Source organism: Homo sapiens, chromosome 3 (assembly GCF_000001405.40).
Source record: "Homo sapiens chromosome 3, GRCh38.p14 Primary Assembly".
Classification (NCBI taxonomy): domain Eukaryota; kingdom Metazoa; phylum Chordata; class Mammalia; order Primates; family Hominidae; genus Homo; species Homo sapiens.
Genome location: NC_000003.12, coordinates 12,479,064 through 12,499,577, shown reverse-complemented (window position 1 = coordinate 12,499,577; position 20,514 = coordinate 12,479,064). Strand labels below are relative to the sequence as shown.

Sequence of the window (20,514 nt, the reverse complement as noted above, 5' to 3'; positions counted from 1 at the left end):
ACCTACCCTCGAAGGTTTCTTGAGAAGATGAAAGGAGGTAATGCAGGCAAGCTCAGAGACTGGGAATGGCACTGCCAGAGCAGTCAGCACCTGTTGGCTATAATGGTGATGGTATCTCTATCACAACACCGACTACTACAGGACAGCACAACTGTTCACTTCTCTTCCTCTCTCACTAGACTGTAAATCCTTCAAGAACAGGGACTAGGTCTTTTCCTCGCTCTTGGGTCCCCAGCACCTACCCAATGCCTGACACATAGTGAATTCTGGCTGAATAAAGGACAACGGGGTGGGCAACCAGCACGACCATCAGGGCTGGTCCTTCAGGGACATACCCCTACTTGTGTCAGTTCCCCAAAGGCATCACAGAAGGGTCCTGACACTTACCTTCAGAAAGAGTTACGCAGAAGGTGCGTAACTTTATCCAAGGACGACTATTATTGGAAAAAGGCCAATTTGAGTGAATCGACTTGAAATAAAAATCAGAATTTCAGAGGCATCAGAAAAGAAACAATTATGGCCAGGTGCAGTGGCTCACACCTGTAATCCTGGTGCTTTGGGAGGCTGAGGTGGGAGGATCACTTGAGCCCAGGAGCCCAAGACCAGCCTGGGCAAGAGCGACACCCTGTCTCTACAAAAAATACGAACAACTATTATGACAAGTATTTAAGTTGAAAAATTAATCTAAAAATATGAACATGCATCAATTTTTCTTATATTTAGCAAAATTTAGATTGTGATTCCAAGTGTTGTGAACAAATAATAAATCAAGTATTGGTTTTGGTTGGGGGACGTATGTAGCTTGCTGATAGAACTGTGCTGGTAACATCTTTAAACATCCTTAGGTTCACACGGGGAAATGAGCTGTAATCTGAAAATTTCTTATAAAAAATTAATCCCCACAAGCATACCCCCTTCAAGCAACATTCCTGCACTGTCACTATGTGTCGTTTATGTCACTTTGTCCTTTGTTATGTTAATGTAAATTCAATGCAAATTGACGGCAAATTGAACATTTAAATCTTGCAAAAAAGATGCAGGATTCATGAAGTCTATGAAAGTGATCAAAGTATGGCAAAGGGATTAAAAAATGAGAATCTGGCAGTTAGACTAGAGGAGAATTGAAGGAAAAAATCAACTAAGGTGATAACACAATAAAGTATATCAAGAGCGCTGAGGAAGGAAGAGAGATATATCTGAATGCAGATTGAGTTCATGCCAGGCCTGCTTATTAGTGAATAGTTTATCGCTTTCACTTCTCAGTGCAACTCTGTAACTGCGGGGCCTTGACTAAGGAATAGTAGGACAACATACACCTCCCAGATTACGCACCCCAGTACCTGCGAATATGACTTTATCTGGAAACAGGGTCTTTGCAGATGGAATCAATTTGATCTAAGGACATAGTGACTGGTGTCCTTAAAAGAGGCAAAATATCACATGTACCCATACCCCGAAAATACATACATCTATTATGTATCAATTTTTTTAATGCAAAAAAAAAAAAGAGGAAAATTTGGACAAAGACACACAGAAACACACAAGGGAGAATGCCACATGACCACAGAGGCAGAGATTAGAGTGATGCATCTGCAAGCCAAGGAATGCCAAGGGGTGCCAGGAGCCAGCAGTGAAGGCAGGCAAGGAAGGATGCTCCCCCAGAGCCTTCCGAGGGACTGTGGCCCTGCTGACACCTTGAGTTTGGAATTCTGGTGTCCAAAACCATGACAATAAATTTCTGTTGTTTTAAGCCATTGAGTCTGTGGTACTTTGTTATGGCAGCCCTAGGAAATGAATACAAGGGTCAATGAAACTTCTTGGGATACTGTAGTGCTCCTAAAGAGATGCTCTTCAGGGAGGTAGCCCTCTCCCTGTGCAGAACCTCTACGCTGGCAGGCTGGCTTGACCTTATGTCATGTTGTGGCCAGCCTAGCCAGGATGCAGTTCTGATGGGCGAGCTGCTGCTATTTCTGATCCCTAGGTTTCTGCTGTGGCAACCTGTCTGCACTATAGCTCCTCCAAGGCTGAGGGCTCTGACAGGTTCTTAGCAGGTCCCTCCCACACACCAGAATCCCACTCCTGACCCCAACCTGAGGTTACAGCTGGAACAGCCATTGAGATCTCCCTGGTGCCACCACTCCTTGCCACCCCGCTGGCTATGGGGTTGCCAAGCATGTAACCAAAAAGGAGCTGCCAGATTTTGCACGTATATGCCAGAAGCAAGATGAACAAAATCACTGGGGACCTGAGAAGTTTTATAAGGTTTCATGGAAGAGCTGTACTGTATCACAGGGACAAGGAGGTCTGGGATGGATGGAGACAGTCAACAATCTCACCAAGGGACCACAAAGTGTGGCACTGCAGAGAGGAGAAGGGCCTGATCTCTGCTCTCCAAGCACCGACAGTCTAAACCCACGTATGACACATGAGGAAAGTGCTGCACGCCGAAGAGGGCTGTGGGGGCCAGAGGAGCAGCAGCCAAGACAGAGGAGGGGACGGTGGTAAGGAAAGAAACCCAGGAGAGGTCAGGCATGAGCAGGATTGAGCACATGCAGGAATCAGCCAGGCCATATGTGTGTGTTTGGGGAGTCAGGGAGAAACGTTCCGGGAATGTCTAGGATTAAATGAGGAAGGGCCTCTGTGAAAGCCTCTTTCTCTGACCCTACAGTGTAGCTGGAGGAAGGGGGACAGGACCATCTGTGCCCACCGGGCAGAAGGCTGGTTCAAAATCTAGGCCCAAGAATATGAGGACTTAATAACATAGCTATTACAGGATAGTTATTCATAATTTGGAAAGAATTCAACTGGCAAAACAGTATTTAAACAAACCATAAACTCACGTAAGGCATTGCAAAAATGATTTGATCCACATTAAATTCCAACATAATTTTCAAGGATACATCTACTACCAAAAACAGAAAGAAAAAAAGGTGTGGACTGGACTGCTACATGGGACAAGACTACCTAAAAACATCTGACTTAAACCATCATTTTGACAGAAGCCAAAGTTCATTATGACTTACCTCTTTGATGTGATGATAGGCATGTTTGTCTTCATATCTGGAACAAAGAAGTTCTATTAGTTTCAGGCAAATTTCCCATAAGGGGAACAAACACTAAAAATCTAGGAAAGACTGAGAATTTTAAGATTCACAAAATCACACACCTAGAAAGTTTACTGTCCAGTCAGTAATGGCAAAAATATGCTTTCTATGCCGTCCTTCCCTGAACCCATACCCTTGGCAGGTGCTGCCCATCAATCACATCGGTCTTGCTGGGCTTAGAGGGGACCTCAGAATTCTTCTCAACTCAGGGCTCCAGCTAAGCAGCAACAGCACAGGAGGAAACCTCTCTGCCATGGCTGAATGCTCATTCCAACTTCCAAATGAGAATGCTGAGGCCCTAGAGGTATGCACTTCATCTCCATTCTTCCCTCTTCACTGAAAGCGCCTTCCATGTGTATATCAAAAGTGCTGGAAAAGTGAACTTGATTGCAGTGTTGGTTTTGGATGTGGATTTGGGAGTTCAGGGATCCAGCTCTAGCTCCCTGTGCAGAATCTCAAACTGGCTTGACCTCAAGTTATTTTGAAGACCAGCCTGATGAGGGCGCAGTTCTGACAGGCGGGCTCCTGCTGTTTCTGAATCCCTAGGTTTTGGTTGTAGTTAACTTGCCTGTACCCCAGGCATAAGCAGGGCATCAGGTGGGAGGAGTCTTTCCAACCGAAATGTTTATCAGGTCACCCAGTGGTCTGGGTTTTCGTCCTGGTCTTTTCCTAACTCTGCCTTTGGGCTAATTACTTCTCTTTTCCCAAACTCAGCCTCGTCTGCATGCATTAAATGCTTGGAAGAGATGATGTTCAGCTTTAACCCCACAGGAAAGTGAGCACACCCAGCCAAGATTGCACACCTAGTGACTACTATGGTTGCTGCTTAAAACCAATACCTTTCGGGATGGTTTACTAAGCAGCATTATTGTGACAAGAAGTAACTGATGCAAAGTCTATCCGATTAGGTTGAACAATCAAATCACTATAAAGTTACTCAAATGGCCAGGCTCACTGGCTCATTCCTGTAATCCCAGCACTTTTCAGAAGCTGAGACGGGTGGATTGTCTGAGCTCAGGAGTTCAAGACCAGCCTGGGTAACATGGTGAAACCCTGTCTCTACAAAAAACACAAAAATTAGCTAGCTGCGATGGCATGTGCCTGTAGTTCCAGCTACTCGGGAGGCTGAGGTAGGAGGACGGCATAAGCCCAGGAGGTGGAGGTTGCAGTGAGCTGAGATTGCACCACTGCACTCCAGGCCCTATCTCCAAAAAAACCAAAAGTTACTCAAAATAATTTCTCACTCTGTGGTTATACAACCAACTTGATATAAGCTTCAGTTACTTCATTTCTATGTTTAAAAAAATCTCTTGTAAAAATTTAACTTTTTTTTTTTTTTTTTTTTTTGGAGACGGAGTTGCATTATGTCACCCAGGCTGAAATGCAGTGGCGCGATTTTGGCTCACTGCAACCTCCGCCTCCAGGGTTCAAGCGATTCTCCTGCCTCAGCCTCCCAAGTAGCTGGGATTACAAGTGCCTGCCACCATGCCCAGCTCATTTTTGTATTTTTGGTAGAGACAGGATTTCGCCATGTTGGCCAGGCTGGTCTTGAACTCCTGACCTCAGGTGATCTGCCTGCCTCAGCCTCCCAAAGTGCTGGGATTACAGGTGTGAGCCACCATGCCCAGCCAAACTTTTTTTATAATTATGTAATACATTTATATGGTTACAAAGTCAAATCTATAAAGTCTCACCTCTCTCTGCATCCTGTTTCATCCCTTCCTACTGGAATTTTTAAAAAACTATGCTTTATCCTTCCATTTAAAAAAAATTGGTCAGGCGTAGTGGCTCATGCCTGTAATCCCAGCACTTTGGGAGGCCAAGGCAGGCAGATCACTTGAGGTCAGGAGTTTGAGACCAGCCTGCTCAACATGGCGAAACTCTGTCTCTACTAAAAATACAAAAATTAGCCGGGCATGGTGGGATACACCTGTAATCCCAGCTACTCACCCAGGAGGCTGAGGCAGGAGAATCGCTTGAACCCAGGAAGTGGAGGATGCAGTGAGCTGAGATCGGAGATTGCACAACTGTACTCCAGCCTGGATGACAGAGTGAGTGAGACTCTTGTCTCAAAAAATATAATAAAATATCTATTTTATATTTCCATCTTTTTAGATAAACCACAGCACAGCATGTACTTTCCTTTATACTGTGCTGTCTTCGCTTACCAGCATATCCTAGCGATCTCCCATTCCTGTCTCAGCTCCACGGTCCTTCATTATATGGATTAATTATATAAATATGGATTATTCCACAGGTCCTCTCCTGATGAACATGTAAGTTGTTCCCAGTCTTTGGATATTACAGTGTTGCATGAATAGCCCTGTGCTATTTCTTTTCATATTTTTGTCAGCGTATTGTTAAGATAAATTCCTAGAAGTGAGATTGCTGGATCAAAAGTAAACGCATATACTGGGACAACTGGATATCCACAGGCAAAACAATGAAGCTGGACCCTTACTTTACACAGTATACGAAAATTAACACAAAATGGACCAAAGACCTAAACTTAAGAGTTCAAACTATAAACCTCTTAAAAGAAAACACCAGGGAAATCTGCATGATTTGGACTTGGCAACGGTTTCTTAAATAGATACCAAAAGCACAGGCAATAGTAGAAAAAATAGATAAATTGGACTTCATTAAAATGAAAAACTTTTACCATTTAATACTCATTAGGATGACTATTTTATTTTATTTATTTATTTAGAAATGGAGTCTTGCTCTGTTATTTATTTATTTATTTAGAAACGGAGTCTTGCTCTGTCGCCCAGGCTGGAGTGCAGTGGTGCAATCTCGGCTCACTGCAACCTCTGCCTCTCGGGTTCAAGTGATTCTCCTGCCTCAGCCTCCTGAGTAGCTGGGATTACAGGTGCACAGCACCATGCCCGGCTAATTTTTGTATTTTTAGTAGAGATGGGGTTTCACCATCTTGGTCAGGCTAGTCTCGAACTCCTGACCTCATGATCTGCCCGCCTCGGCCTCCCAAAGTGCTGGGATTACAGGCGTGAGCTACCGCGCCTGGCCGACTATTATTTTTTTAAACAAGTGTTGGCAAGGATGTAGAGAAATTGGAACCTTTGGTGCATTGCTGGTGGGAATGTACAATGATGCGGTCAATGTGGAAAATAGTTTAGCTAGTTCTTAAAATGTTAAACAGACAATTATCATATGACCCATTAATTCTACTCCTGGGTATATATCCAAAACAACTAAAAATAGACTCAGATACGTGTATGCAAATATTCACAACAGTATTATTCAGAAAAGCCAAAATACAGAAACAATCTAAGTGTCCATCAGCAGATGAGCTAAAGGCACTATGTCCAAACAATGGAATATTATTCCACTATAAAACGGAATGAAGTTCTGATAGACACTATGGCAGGGACAAACCTCGAAAATATGCTAAGTGAAAGCAACAGACACAAAAGGGCAAATATTGTATGATTGTTATTTATATATGAAATATCTATAATAGGTAAATTCATAGACAGAAAACATATAAAGGTTACCAGGGACTGAGGAAAGAGAGGAATGGGGGAAAAGAAAACAAAGTAAATGCATAGGTAATTTTGCTAGACATTGCCAAATTCACCTCCATGAGGGTGGTACCACAAGCACCCCACCAGCAATGCAAGAGAAGGTCTGTTTCTGAAGTCCTCACCAATGCAGTATATTGTCAGACTTTTGGATTTCTGCCTGATTGTTGACATGTTATCTCAGTGCAGTTTTAATCTGTATATTTTCTTACAATAAAACCTTTAAAAGATCCTTTCTAATTATGTTTTAACATGCTGGTATTGGTTCTTAAGTAATTACCATGAGAATTCCTTAGATAAATATTCTAAAACATTTATAAATTAAAGAGAATCAGCAAGGGAGAACCACACACATACATGTCATGGCTATTACAAATTCTAATTCTGGAAACAAAATTTTAAAAATTTTGCATAGTGCCACAGGTGAGCAGGTACTTAACTACCAGTACCTGCCATAGGCATAGTACTCTGCTAAGCAAACACTTAACAACAGAAAAGCCCAATTAACACTTGATAATTCTAGAAATTAAACACACTGTCACCCAATCATAACCCTTTTGCTTTGATTAGAATTATTCTAGCTAACTTTGGCAGTAAAACTGCCAGTGTACATGTTACTTCTCTAGAATTTTACTATATAGCCTGAGATATAAGATCAAAAACAAAGGAAAATGATTAATTTGTCAAAAGAACTGAATGATACAACAACTTTACCTTTCCATTTAGCAACCAGTTTAGGATCTGAAATTGTGAAGCTTGGACGGCTTCTTGAAAGAATACCTTTTCCAAAATAACCCTTCCAGGAAGAGAGAAAATGAAGTTAGTTCATGCTTAGTTACCAGTTTTTTAGCTGAGGTAGAATATACAGTAATCCCTCAGTATCCACAGGGGGCTGGTTCCAGGACCTCTGGTGGATACCAAAATCGGCAGATGGTCGAGTCCCTGATATAAAATGGTGCAGTATTTATATATAGTCTACGTAGGCCCTCCCATATACTTTAAGTCATCTCTAGGCTACTTATAATACCTAATGCAATGCAAATGCTATGTAAATAGTTGTTATATTGTTTAATATAAGAAAATAAAGTCCCCGTTTGGTACACATGCAATTTTTCTCCCAAAATATCTTCAATCCAAGGTTGGGTGAATCCACGGAAGTGGAACCCATGATATGGAGGGCCGACTGTACCCATCTGAGTTAACAAGAGGTTCGCCCCACTTTTCATGTCTTTACATTTTCCCTCTGATTATCTAATGATGACTAAGGATGTTCTTAGCGTAACACCTTTCTAATCGCTTCAAGAGTACTAGTAAGTTTTTAGCACACCTCATTTATCCCATAACTAATGCTTTCAGTCTAGGTCTGATAAGCCGAGGGCAGGCAGAGGCAGAGTTTCTTCTCTACATATGGTTCGGGAACACAGTGTGCCTGAAGGCAGGAGCCATGCTGCCCACTAGGTCCAAAAAAACCTCTTGGATTCTTTTGTACTCCAGAATTGAAGTATTCCTCTCATTCCTGCTGATTCCAAAAACAACATGTATTTTTCCCCTTTTCATTACAAAATATTTAAACACACAGAAAATTGAAAGAATAAAACAAACACCCCTTTCTCCATTTAGATTAACAATCAGAATAAAGAGGCCAGGTATGGTGGCTCACACCTGTAATCCCGGCACTTTGGGAGGCCGAGGTGGGCAGATCACTTGAGGTCAGGGGTTCAAGACCAGCCTGGCCAACATGGTGAAACCCTGTCTCTACCAAAAAATACAAAAATTAGCCAGGCATGGTGGCATGCGCCTGTAGTCCCAACTACTCGGGAGGCTGAGGTGGTAGAATCACTTGAACCTGGGAGGTAGAGGTTGCAGTGAGCTGAGATCATGCCACTGCACCCTAGTCTGGGTGACAGGGTAAGACTCTGTCACAAAAAACAAACAAAAAAAACACCCAGCAACAACAAAAACCAAGAATAAATAATGCATACAGCACTTTATAAAGCCTCTTGCTTAATGTTATATACTGTAAATGAAGGCCTCCCTGGTGAGCTGCCCTTGGCCTACTGAGACTCCTGCCTCACCATGGCCAGTGCCACCCACTCTTCTATCAAGTGTCTAGAGAAGGCACATTTATGGAGACAAGACGCCATTCCGTGGCTGCCTTGGGCCGGGAGTGGGAGCAGGGATTAAGTGTGATGGGCACAAGGGAACTCTGTGGTGATGGGAATGTTCTAAAACTGGACTGTGGTGAGAGTTGTGCAACTCTATAAATTTATGACAATCACTGAATTGTATACTTACAATGGGAGGACTTTATAGTTGTAAATTATAACTCAATAAAGCTGTTTTTTAAAAATGCCCACAGCAATGAACAGATTATGGAAAATTTTTTTTAAAGAACTACCAGTCTTCATTCAACTTGATCAATGCTGGAAAACAGTAAAAACTAGAACTTGTCCTCATCTGAGAAGAGGTCCCCAACCAGGAGGCAGCAGATAAGGAGCTCCATGCCAAAGCCCCATCTGATCCGTGCCTGAGTAGGGACACTATGCCACGCTGTGGCTACCTCTGGGAACGGGATGGGAGTGAGTGGGGAATTTTCACTTTTTTACCCATTACATTTCTGTAAATTACTTTTTTTGTTCCTTTAACAAACATGCATTGCTTTTACAACTAAAGACAAAAAAAATAGTCAATCCATTGAACCTACTTCATCACTGAAATAAAGGTTTGTGGGCAGGGGTGCTCCATCTGTCATTCTATTACCCTAACATATGGCTTTTGGGCACTAATTCAAATTGTACTTTTCCTACAACTGGACCAAACCGCAAGGAAAGAATACACATTGTTCATGGTTGGTGTGGGGGTATGGCTGGGATGGGGAGAAGGAAAGGACTGCTTGCTCAGGGTTGTCTGAAAGTAATCTTACCAAGGCTGCCTGCACTTACTTTCCCATAGAGCTGCTCAATGTCCTCCGCATTCCTCACAATCACATTGTTGTTAATCATTTCAGCACGGAATATCTTGAATTCTTTCAGAGGACCATGGTCCTGACCAAAAGGGATTGGCAATGGAGACTCGTAAGTCTCATACACTCTTCTTTTCCTCTTTGGGGCATGGAAAACTGCTTCTGCCATTTTTCAGAGGAGGTATTCTTTAAAGAGTAGACAACAAACAGAAAGAAACAGACAATCAATAACTACCTTGATCCAAAATGTGAGTACATCTGTACCTAGGCTCAGAAAACTTAGTGGTCTGTGGGAAGAAATAGAGTATTTATAAAGCAATAAACTAAAAGCAGTAAGAACAGTTTGTGTGAGCAATGTAAATCATATTGACCTAGAATACTGCAATTAATCCCCACAATAAACCCCAGGAAATGAGTGGTAATCTTTCTACTCCAGCTGACAACGCTGAGACCTAGTGACATGCCCAAAGCTGCAATGTTAGGTCTCCTGAGAGCAAGCACAACAGGATTTCTGTCTACCAGGAGTGCTTCCATTTCACTCACCCAACAGACATTTACTACCAGGAATTCCTAATAATCATAGGTGCTGGGGAGACAAAGACAAAACTGAGACCCTGTCCTCAACAAATTAAATCTTGCAGGCACTTCATTTTCCAAGAGGATCTTACAATACACACTAAACATTGGGTCAATCAGCTCCCAATTTTTAAAGTACATTAATAAATAATAATGACAGCAGCAGTTATTTAAGGGTCGATTATATACTACCAAATGCTACTGGCTTCAAGCAGGGACTCTAAAGCCAGACTATCAGCATCAGAATCAACTTTACCACTTCCTAGCAGTGTGATTTTGGGCAAAAGTCACTGACTCTCTCTGTGATTTAGTTTCCTCACCTGCAAAATCAAGATAAGAACGACTCTATCTTACAGTTAAGATCCATAAAGTGCTTAGAACAGTACCTGGCACATAGCGTGTACCATTCATGTATCAGCTATAATTAGTATTACAGGGTGAGCAGTAGCAACACCATTTTACAAATAGGAAACAGATTCAGGTTAGAGAGATTTGTAGACGACCCCGAGTGTGGTGGCATCGGGTGACCCAGGTCTGTTGAACTCCCAAGCCCATGCCCTCTCTCTAGATTCTGCTGAAAGCACAGGCAGGGTCTATCTACTTTTGTCTGATGACTCTTTCTCAAAATCAGACGGTGAAGGGTTATTGAGCAGTAACGGAATTACCCACTGTGCACCCAGCACCATGAGGGAGAACAGAAAGCCAAAGCCAGTACGTGTCCCTCTGGGGCCATACATTGGATCCAAGGAGACAAAACAAGTATATAACATAGCTGGAAGCACAGAAAGCAGGTTGGAGCTAACGGAACTGGCTGTTATCCACTAATGTCTAAAGGAGGGAAGTAAATGTGAACATATTGTGTGATGCAGACACAGAGATACAGTAGATGCACTTAACCTAGGAAAACGTAACCATATACATGGGAAAACAATGTAAATGGTGCAAGACATTCCACTCGAGGAGCAGCTGTCCTGGAATGAGATGGGAAACTTGAATCTGCTGCTCCCCCAGTACTAGGTCTAGACTTGATTTCAACTGAGAGCTTACCTGGTGCTTGAAGATACAGTGCGGCCAAATCATACACACGTTTAACCTACATGACTCCGAATCCTCACAAGGGAAAAAATAAGACTAATTACTTAGGTGGCTCCTGCACTCAGTACTTGCATCCCATTGGCAAGGGATGCCATCAAGCCTGAAACAGTCAAGAAGGTGGCCAAAACTGAGGGAGGGGAAGGTGAGTGGCTTTAAGAGTGTCATGACCATTAAGAAAAGGCTTATCCAACGTGTGATGATATCAGTATCCAACTTCTCAAGGAAGAAGCTGAGGAATTATATGAGGACACAGAAAAACACAGACTAAAGAGGAGTTAGAGGAAATGATACATCAATTACAAAGATAACCATGAAAAAGAAGAATCGGGAAGTTGGAACCTTCCTAGAATTGCCATTGTTCTAAGCAGCAACATGCTAGATTAATTTCTAAATAAGGTTCCTTGAAGGAATTACATACTGAGCATTACTTTGTACATTTTATATTTATGCATGCATCTTGCTGTATAGTGTTTATAACAAAACCACGTCTACTGCATGCTCACAGGAAACCTAAGAGATTTTCTTAAGAGCATATTTAGACTAGGCTTTACCTTGCTTGCTGACTTATCCCTCAGCCCAAGTACTAAATTATCACATTTAGTACTCAATTGGAGAGACAATAATTTATTCTAAAACTGAAAATAAACACTGCTTTTTGGGGGCAGGATGTTGGTCTCTAGTAAGGCACTTTTTGAAAGACTTCCAGGAATGGTTTGGACTTTTATGGGATTTTTCACTTTTATAACCTCTGCTCAGCAGCTGACTTATATACATTACATTCGGAATTTTAAAAAAATGAAAAAAGATTTAATGGCCACCTTCAAGAAGTTCTAATAAATTCTCTCAACAAATAAGAGTTGTATTTTAGTCTGCCTCATTTGTTCAGCGTTTTTCCCTCTCAGACTGCTGTCACATCTAAAAAAGGCAAGATTTAGCTGTGACACTTGATCGAAAGAACTCTGTACTCCAACCCAGGTGTGTGGGATGGAAGGGTCCCTGCGACAAAACACCCCTCATAATCCAAGTTCTTGTGTTACTCTTGCTCATGTGGCTGCACACCCCTCAGGAATTTGGCTCGCAGTAGGCCTTCCAGACATGCAAAGCCGCCATTATTATTGTGTGACCTTGCACAACCCACTTTCTCTAAGCCCAGTTTCATCTTCAAATCGAACAGGACTGGAGGAGTCTGGCAGTTCCTCAAAATGTCAAACACATAGTTACGACATGATCCAGCAACTCCACCCCTAGGTATAGACCTAAGAGAAATGAAAACATATGTTCATGGAAAAATTTGTATGTGAATGTTCACAACAGTATTATTCATAATAGCATCAAAGTGGAAGCCATCCAAATGTCCATCAATAGTTGACCAGATCAACAAAATGTGGTCTATCCATATAATCAAATACTTAGCCATAGAAAAGGAATGAAGTTCGGATACATTCTTCAACACCTGAAAGCATTATGCTAAAAGAAGTCAGACACAAAAGACCACGAGACAATTAAGATAAAGTTTCCGGAATAGACAAATCCATAGAGACAGATTACCAGTTGCCAGAGACAGGGAAAAGTGGGAAATGGGGGGGCGACTGCTAATAAGACAGGAGGTTTATTTTGGAGGGTGACGAAAATGTTTTAAAATTAGATTGTAGTGATGGTAATGGTTACATAACTCCGCGAATACGAAGACCACTGACTCGTACATTTCAGAAGGGTGACTTTTACAGAATTATATGGTATCTCAATAAAGCTATTTTAAAAAATTCAGAAGTAAAGACATTCCCCAGGCCATGTCCTGCAAGAATGACTTCACAGATACCAGCGTGAAGCTTCTAGAAAAGATAGAAAGAAACCCTCAGGGAAGGTAGAGCTCACTTCCCCAGGGGGAAAAATTCAAGAGGACAAATCAGATGATCTCTAGTTTCATGGAAGAGTCCTCCTGTGCTGAACTCGAAAGGCAAAGCAGAGGAGAAAAGACTGCATTTACCATTCCCCATATCTGCAATGGATATTCAAGAAGGTTCTTTAGTGTCGCGGCAGAACAGCATGCTGTAAGAGGTGGGATGTGAGTAAAATAAGAAGAGGAAACTGTCATAGGTAGGTACCAGATGCCAGAGGCACTCACTGCATGTGCTGCACATGTGGGTACTATAGTCATCCCTTGGTATCCACAGAAGGACTGGTTCCAGGACTCACCCCCTACCAAAATCCGCAGCTCAAGTCCCTTAAATAAAATGTAGTATTTGCATGTAACTTATGCCCATCCTCCCATCTACTTTAAGTCTTCTCTAGATTACTTAGAATACCTAATACAATGTAAATACTAAATAATTGTTATATATATATATTTTTAAATTTCTTTTTCCAAATATTTTTGATGCAACATTGGTTGAATCCACAGATTCGGAACCTGATAGCGAGAGCTGACTGTACTATCCTCATTCCACAGATATGAAAGAAGAGCGGTGCCTGAGGTGCACAAAAACATATAGGAAAGACTGGGTCAGTTGTCAAGAGGTTTGGGATGCAAAGGTTGGTTTGGAATTGGAGTCACTGCAGGTTATTTAGAATGATGATTGAAAAATGCAGATTAAGAAAATTAAACCTGGGAGTGGTACATCACACAGTGGCCCTCAAGCTTACCTACCCTTAACTCCTCATGCCCAGGCCTCACCTGCAATCAATTACATCAGAATTTCCTGGGTGGACCCAGCTGATTTTAACATATAGCTAACCACTGGTAACAGCAAGGTCTATTCAAATTCACTTAATCCCAGTAGCCCCCGGAGGTAAAGACTATTTTTATTTCCATTGTACAGATGTGGAAAGTGACTCGGAGGGGCCGGGCGCACCCCTGAGAAATCTTTACTTCTTATTTCCCCAACCTGCGCAACCTGACTCCAGAGCTGCATATTCTTACTTTCTATTAAAAGCAGAGTCTGTTTCTTATTCTTCCCTCGAGCACACAGGCTAACACCTCTTAGGTGATGGTAAATGTCTATTAGAAAAACAAAAAAGGGAGAGGTGGCTCCATTTAATTTTCCAACCTTCCTGGACTAGGTGCCAAACAAACCTGGTTAAAAAACCTCCTACCCAGCAAATCTCACCTTCTCCCAACCAAAACACGCTTCAAGCTCCATCTGCGCACCTCCTGGGCTTAGGGAGGCAAGGATGAAAGGCACAAGGTAAACAATCCTGCCTCTGGGGAGCTTTCAAGTTAGAACCTGAGAATAAGCCATATAAACAGATGACCAGCCTTTGAAAGTTGTTGTCAGGATTAAATGCATAATTTTGCAGAAGGCGTTTCGTTCGGGGCCTACCACGTGGAAAGCGCTCACCAGACGACAGCTGCAAATAAAATAAACTGCGCACCCCAACAGCGTTAGGGGCCCCGCCAATTCCTAACTCCCTGTCTTACCCCTTTGCTTCTTTCCTTGACTACCCCCACACCCGACCGAACTCCACCAGAGGCTGCGGCTCCTCTCGGGCATTGTCAGCTGCACCTTGCGCCCCAGCCCCACCAGCCCTGAACAAGGCGCCGGCGTTTCCAAGAACCAAGGGCTGCAGGCGCACGAGGAAAGCGCGGAGGAGTCAGTGACCGGGCGCACTCGGAAGCCTGGCTCCCCGTCCCGGCACTGTCTCGGCCGGCTGTGCGACCCCAGCACAGTACCTAGGCCCTTTCCTCTCTCGCCCTGGAGGACTTTCGGAAGAGCGAGATTTCCTTTCGCTGCAAAACACCAAACTCGGAAAGGGCCGCGCTTTCCTCGCCCAGGGCCCTTACCTTTCTTGGCCCCACGCGCTCGCCGTTACCCCGGCAACGCCGGCCGTGGGGCGGACACCGCTGCCGTCAAGCAGTGCGGCCGCAAAGCCAGCCGAGTGCGCAGCCGCAGAGCTCCCGTCGGGACTTGGCGGAGTGCGCCTGCGCACGGCCGGCTGGCGGGTGTTCTGTGCGCCAGCTCTGCCACTGCGGAGTATGAGGCGGAGGCTGCGTGCGCGCTTTGCTGCTCTCTGCAGGATTGTACGGAAGCCAGAACGATCCTGCAAGACGCATTTTACAGATGAGATGCAGTTACCCGTCAAATGTCACATAGTCACGTGGGAGGTGGGAGAGACCTAGAATCTTCGGCCCTCGGTGGATGGGATGTTTGAGGCGACCGACAGGACTTTATTAAATGGCCCTGAGGAAACTGATCTCATCTTTCTCAATGTAGAAAGAGGATCACAGCAGCGCACCTGTGTACGCTGCAGCATGCGGGGAACTTGCAAGGACGTTTTCTCTGGCAGACACCTGGCCAGAAGCCTCTGTGTGCCCAGACTGCCTGTGCAGTTAAGGGACAATAGGCGGCAGGTCCACCTGCTCTGCATCCCCATTTTCCCCCCTCACTGGCTGCGTGAGCTTGAATGACTGACAACCTTTCTGAGCTTGAGTTTACTGAAAAATGGGCCATCAGAATTACGGGAGATGAGCAAAACTGGAGTGCAATAGGAAGTGTAAGTTTCTCCTGACCTGGTTATTTTAAAGGAGCCCTGTGGGGAGTCCAATATATACTTTCCCAAATATGAATCACAGGAGTTCCACCACACAGACTAAGCAGGAGGCAAAGGAGGATGGCAAGGAAGTGTGGCAAATACTGCTGGAGAGATTCATGGTGCTAGATGTGATGATGGATGTTGAATTTTGGACTTCTGCCAATGTTCTTGCCTCCATTCCTTCACGCATGCTGTTGCCTCTATGTTCCCTCCCCTCTGTTAGCTGCAGTAATTCCTGGTCAGCCTTTAGGTCTCAGCTCAAATATCACCTCTTCCAGGAGACTTCTTGCCTTCCCAGACCTGCTTGGGTGACTTGCCTCTGTGCTCTGCAGTAGTCTGGCATGGCATGTGTTGTCCCTGTTTTTCTGGCCCTTTTTATTTTTTGAGACGGAGCCTGGCTCTGTCGCCCAGGCTGGAATGCAGTGGCACCATCTCAGCTCACTTACCTCACTGCAATCTCTGCCTCCCAGGTTCAGGTGATTCTCCTGCCTCAGCCTCCCGAGTAGCTCGGATTACAGGCGCCTGCCACCACGCCCGGCTGATTGTTATATTTTTAGTAGAAACGGGGTTTCACCACGTTGGCCAGGCTGGTCTCAAACTCCTGACCTCAAGCGATCCTCCCGCCTCGGCCTCCCAAAGTGCTGGGATTACAGGCTTGAGCCACTGCATCCTGCCTGGCCCTTTTTGAACTGCACTGTGGGCTTGCTCTTGGTAGAGTGAGATCATGTCGCAGCATTCAGTGGGTCCTCTGCTGCAAGGACCTTCACTGCTAGGCTAGGGAGTTCAGGTTTTAGATAAACCAAAATCAAAGAGCTTTGTGGTAAGAATGTTGCAAAAGAAAGGGAGAAAATTGGCAAGAGTCACAGGATATGGTAACAGGATGGATTGGGCAGGGGAGAGACAGCTGAAGAGAGGCTGTAATATCCGACCAGAACATGCCAATTTAAGAAATACTGGTTTTAGAATTAGAGGGCTTTAACAATGAAAGGGATTCAGAGGTTGTCCAGTTAAACTTCCTTATTTAACTGATAAGAAAACAGTTCCAGTGGCACTGTGAGTTGTCAGAGATAACCGAGCAGGTCTGAGGTGGGGCTGAGACTAGAGCCAGGTCTCTTAAATCCCATCCCAGCTCGTGGAAGGATTTGGGGTTTGCTGATAATGGGATCTCAAATTCCCCTCCCAAAAACATAAAAAAAGAAATTAAAAAAAGAAAAAAAATCTGTAAATTTTAAAAAAGAAAGAAATTTTCCCCAAGACTTTCTCAAGTGCATTTTAAACCCTTTGATATGGTTATTTTCAAACATACAACACAAAAGTAGAGAAAACAGTCCAATAAATCATCACTTCTGGCCGGGCACGGTGGCTCATGCCTGTAATCCCAGCACTTTGGGAGGCTGAGGCGGGTGGATCACCTGAGGTTGGGAGTTCGAGACCAGCCTGACCAACATGGAGAAACCCCATCTCTACTAAAAATACAAAATTAGCTGGACATGGTGGTGCATGCCTATAATCCCAGCTACCCTGGAGGCTGAGGCAAGAGAATTGCTTGAACCGGGGAGGTGGAGGTTGTGGTGAGTCGGGATTGCACCATTGCCCTCCAGCCTAGGCAACAAGAGTAAAAACTCTGTCTCAAAAATAAAAAATCGCTTCTACAACCTTCAACCTTTGGTATCTCATTTCTTTTGCATTCTCGATATACACACTTTTATCTCCTTGCTGGAGTATTTTAAAACAATCCCAGACATGATATAACTTCATCCATGATATTTCAGTAGGTATCTCTAATAGATAAGGACTTAATTTTATTACAATACATCTGCATCTACATATATATATATATATATACGCAGACACACACACACACACACACATATATCAACTGTGTAGTTCATTCTCATTATTTGAGGTAATTCTGTTCTATAAAGTTGCCACAAACACTGAATTAGTAAATACTGAACCATGTTTCCAGGAGAAATACAAGATACAAGGTTAGGTGTCTGTGAGTCTCTGGTCACAGCATTTTCATCAACTGGTCAATATATAACCTCACTTCATGTGTTTCTGTTTAAAGACACCTTACATATGTTGATTCATCAACACTGAACTCGCAGCCAACAGCACTATAACTCCTGCCTAAAGGAGGCTTATCTAACACACCTATTCTCTCCAATAAGGCACATTTCTTGGGTGGGGAACACCAGACAGCACTTCAGCACTCCACTTGGGGCCATTTTAAACAGTTAAATCACCAACAAAAAGCACAAAAATGTGAAAAACATGGCACAAACTAGAGCTCAAAAAAGCATACTTATTTATGGTATGAGAGCTGAAACAAGAAGGCAGAGTCTCCTTGTTCACCTGCAGCTGGGAATGTGCACACTGTGTGACTCAAATTTTTTGGTATTCTGTGCATGCACACATCTGCAGATGACTGTGACAGTGAAGTATTGATTGTGATGTTACCAATAAGTTTTAGCAACTAGGTGAGTTTGTAAATACAGAATCCAAGAGTAGGGAGGATGGACTATATCAACATATCCCCAGTATCACTAGCACATCTAACACAATGAACAGTTATCGGTGAAATGTGCCCAGAACCTCCAAGTAATATTTGGGATATACTTAAGAAAAAAGTTTATCTGAAATTCAAGTTAATCTGGGTGCCTCACATTTTATCTGGCCACCCTAGTGACAATTTATTGGGCACTTACTATGTGCCAGCCACTTTTGCATCCATGATCTTATTTAATTCTCATAACAGGGCTGTGAGATTGGTGTTCTTACCTCTCTTCTGCAGCCAAGGTTACCGCACATGCCCATGGTGTCATTGCTAGGAAGTAGTGAAGGCCAGATGAGGATACGGATCTACGGGGCTTATGCTCTTTTAATCTGTCATGCTGGATACAGGAGGGCAATGCATTAACAAAACATGACAGGCCGGGCGCGGTGACTTATGCCTGTAATCCCAGAACTCTGGGAGGCCGAGGTGGGTTGATCACCTGAGGGTGGGAGTTCAAGACCAGCCTGGCCAACATGGCAAAACCCCGTCTCTACTAAAAAAAATATATAAAAATTAGCTGGGCATGGTGATGCGCCTGTAATCCCAGCTATTCGGGAAGCTGAGACAGGAGAATCACTCGAACCCAGGAGGCAGAGGTTACAGTGAGCGGAGATTGCGCCACTACACTCCAGCCTGGGCGACAGAGTGATACTGTCTCAAAAAAAAAAAAAAAAAAAAAACAAAGAAACAAAACAAACAAAAACCACACAACATTCAGTACTGAAATATAAAAAATAACCAACAGTAAGTGTCGGTTGGAGGTCAGGGAAGACCAGGATGGGTTTAAGAGCCTGGGAGGCTTCCAGGAAGAGGTGGCATATGAGCTGCCCCTGGAAGGGAGGTTAGCCTTAGGAGGAGGAGAGGAGGAGGGCAGGTGGCTGCCTAGGGCACAGGGCAGGCCCATGTGCAAGGCTGGAATGGGCCTTGGTTCCGGAGCCAGGGAGGAGCTGGGCCTGGCCGGGGCAGGAGGTTGGAGCTGTGATAAGGTCCGATAGGTAGGGTGGGGACCGATTGTGGAGGCGCTTAAATTCCAGGCTTGGCTTTTGGACTTTACCCTGCAGACAATGGGGAGCCACCAACGTTTCTGAGCAGGGCAGGGCAGCCCCAGCTGTCGCCCCATTGTTTTTCTGAAATAGCGTTGAACCCTGTAGTATTTCAGACAGTCCACCAGATGGAGACATTTCAGCAAATTTAAACCACCTAGTGTCTGAAGGACACTGCTTTACCGAGGTGAAAACAAACACAGGGACCCTACTAAGCTCTAACTTTTTACTCAGCATCCTCAACAGAAAATGCAAGGGCTGTGAAAAAAAAAAATCAAATCAGAGACATAGTCCAGCTTCACTCTGCTGGTGAGAGAAAGCCTCCGCTAATTTCACCATGTTGAAAGAGAGATTGAGCCTCAGCAGCTCTTTGAGGTCACTGATATTATCCCATTTACAGATGAGGAAGCTGAGATTCTGCAGCGTACATTAATGCCATTATTTACCAGACTAACACCAGGCCAGGCTGTGGGATAGAGTTGACACTGTGTGTGAAGGGACGGGCTGGTCAAGTCCCCAAGGCATTGCCTTGCTGTGTGGGCTTTTAAGGGCCAAGAGTCCCTTGTGCAAAGGGTTAAGAATTACCTGAGATCCAGAAAGATCTGTAGCACTGATGATGAGAGCTACCTGGATTCCTACCATCTGCACTAATCCAGGTGTTTTTTTTAAGGTAGACCCACTTAATTCTCTCCAGCAACCTGGTGAGTTAATGATCATCATACTCTTTTTATAGGTAGGAAAACAGATTCAGAGAGGTGAGATGAGTTGCCCAAGGTCACACAGGGAGTAAACATCAGAGCAGGAGGCAGGCTCGGTGGCTCAGGCCTGTAATCCCAGAACTTTGGGAGGCTGAGGTGGGTGGATCACCTGAGGTCAAGAGTTCAAGACCAGCCTGGCCAAAATGGTGAAACCCCATCTCTACTAAAAATATAAAAATTAGCCGTGTGTAGTGGTGCGTGCCTGTAATCCCAGCTACTTGGGAGGCTGAGGCAGGAGAATCACTTTAACCTGGGAGGTGGAGGTTGCAATGAGCTGAGATCTTGCTACTGCACTCCAGCCTGGGTGACAGAGTGAGACTCTGTCTCAAAAAAAAAAAAAAAAA

General features: G+C 44.0%; 1 protein-coding gene across 42 annotated transcripts in view, besides 1 other annotated feature; it reads right to left on the bottom strand.

Moving 5' to 3' along the window:
- The window catches only part of TSEN2 (tRNA splicing endonuclease subunit 2), a 59,394-nt gene extending 40,047 nt beyond the window's left edge, over window positions 1-19,347 (bottom strand). For 23 of the 42 annotated variants that reach the window (XR_007095737.1, XR_007095736.1, XR_007095742.1 and 20 more), the window contains exons 1-4: window positions 15,061-15,098; window positions 9,589-9,794; window positions 7,361-7,442; window positions 3,024-3,060 (exon numbers count right to left, since the gene is read on the bottom strand). Coding sequence is in view for 20 of the 42 variants with exons in the window: in NM_001321278.2 (NP_001308207.1) it covers window positions 3,024-3,060; window positions 7,361-7,442; window positions 9,589-9,777 (308 nt within the window). In the remaining 22 variants the exon portion in view is untranslated. The other 19 variants (XR_007095739.1, XR_001740289.3, XR_001740291.2 and 16 more) reach the window with 6 other exon arrangements.
- Window positions 14,755-15,174: an enhancer, noted in NCBI's record as "active region_19441". NCBI's record gives its function as "activates an Ori minimal core promoter by ATAC-STARR-seq in GM12878 lymphoblastoid cells {active_cell/tissue: GM12878}" and the evidence as "EXISTENCE:reporter gene assay evidence [ECO:0000049][PMID:35858748]".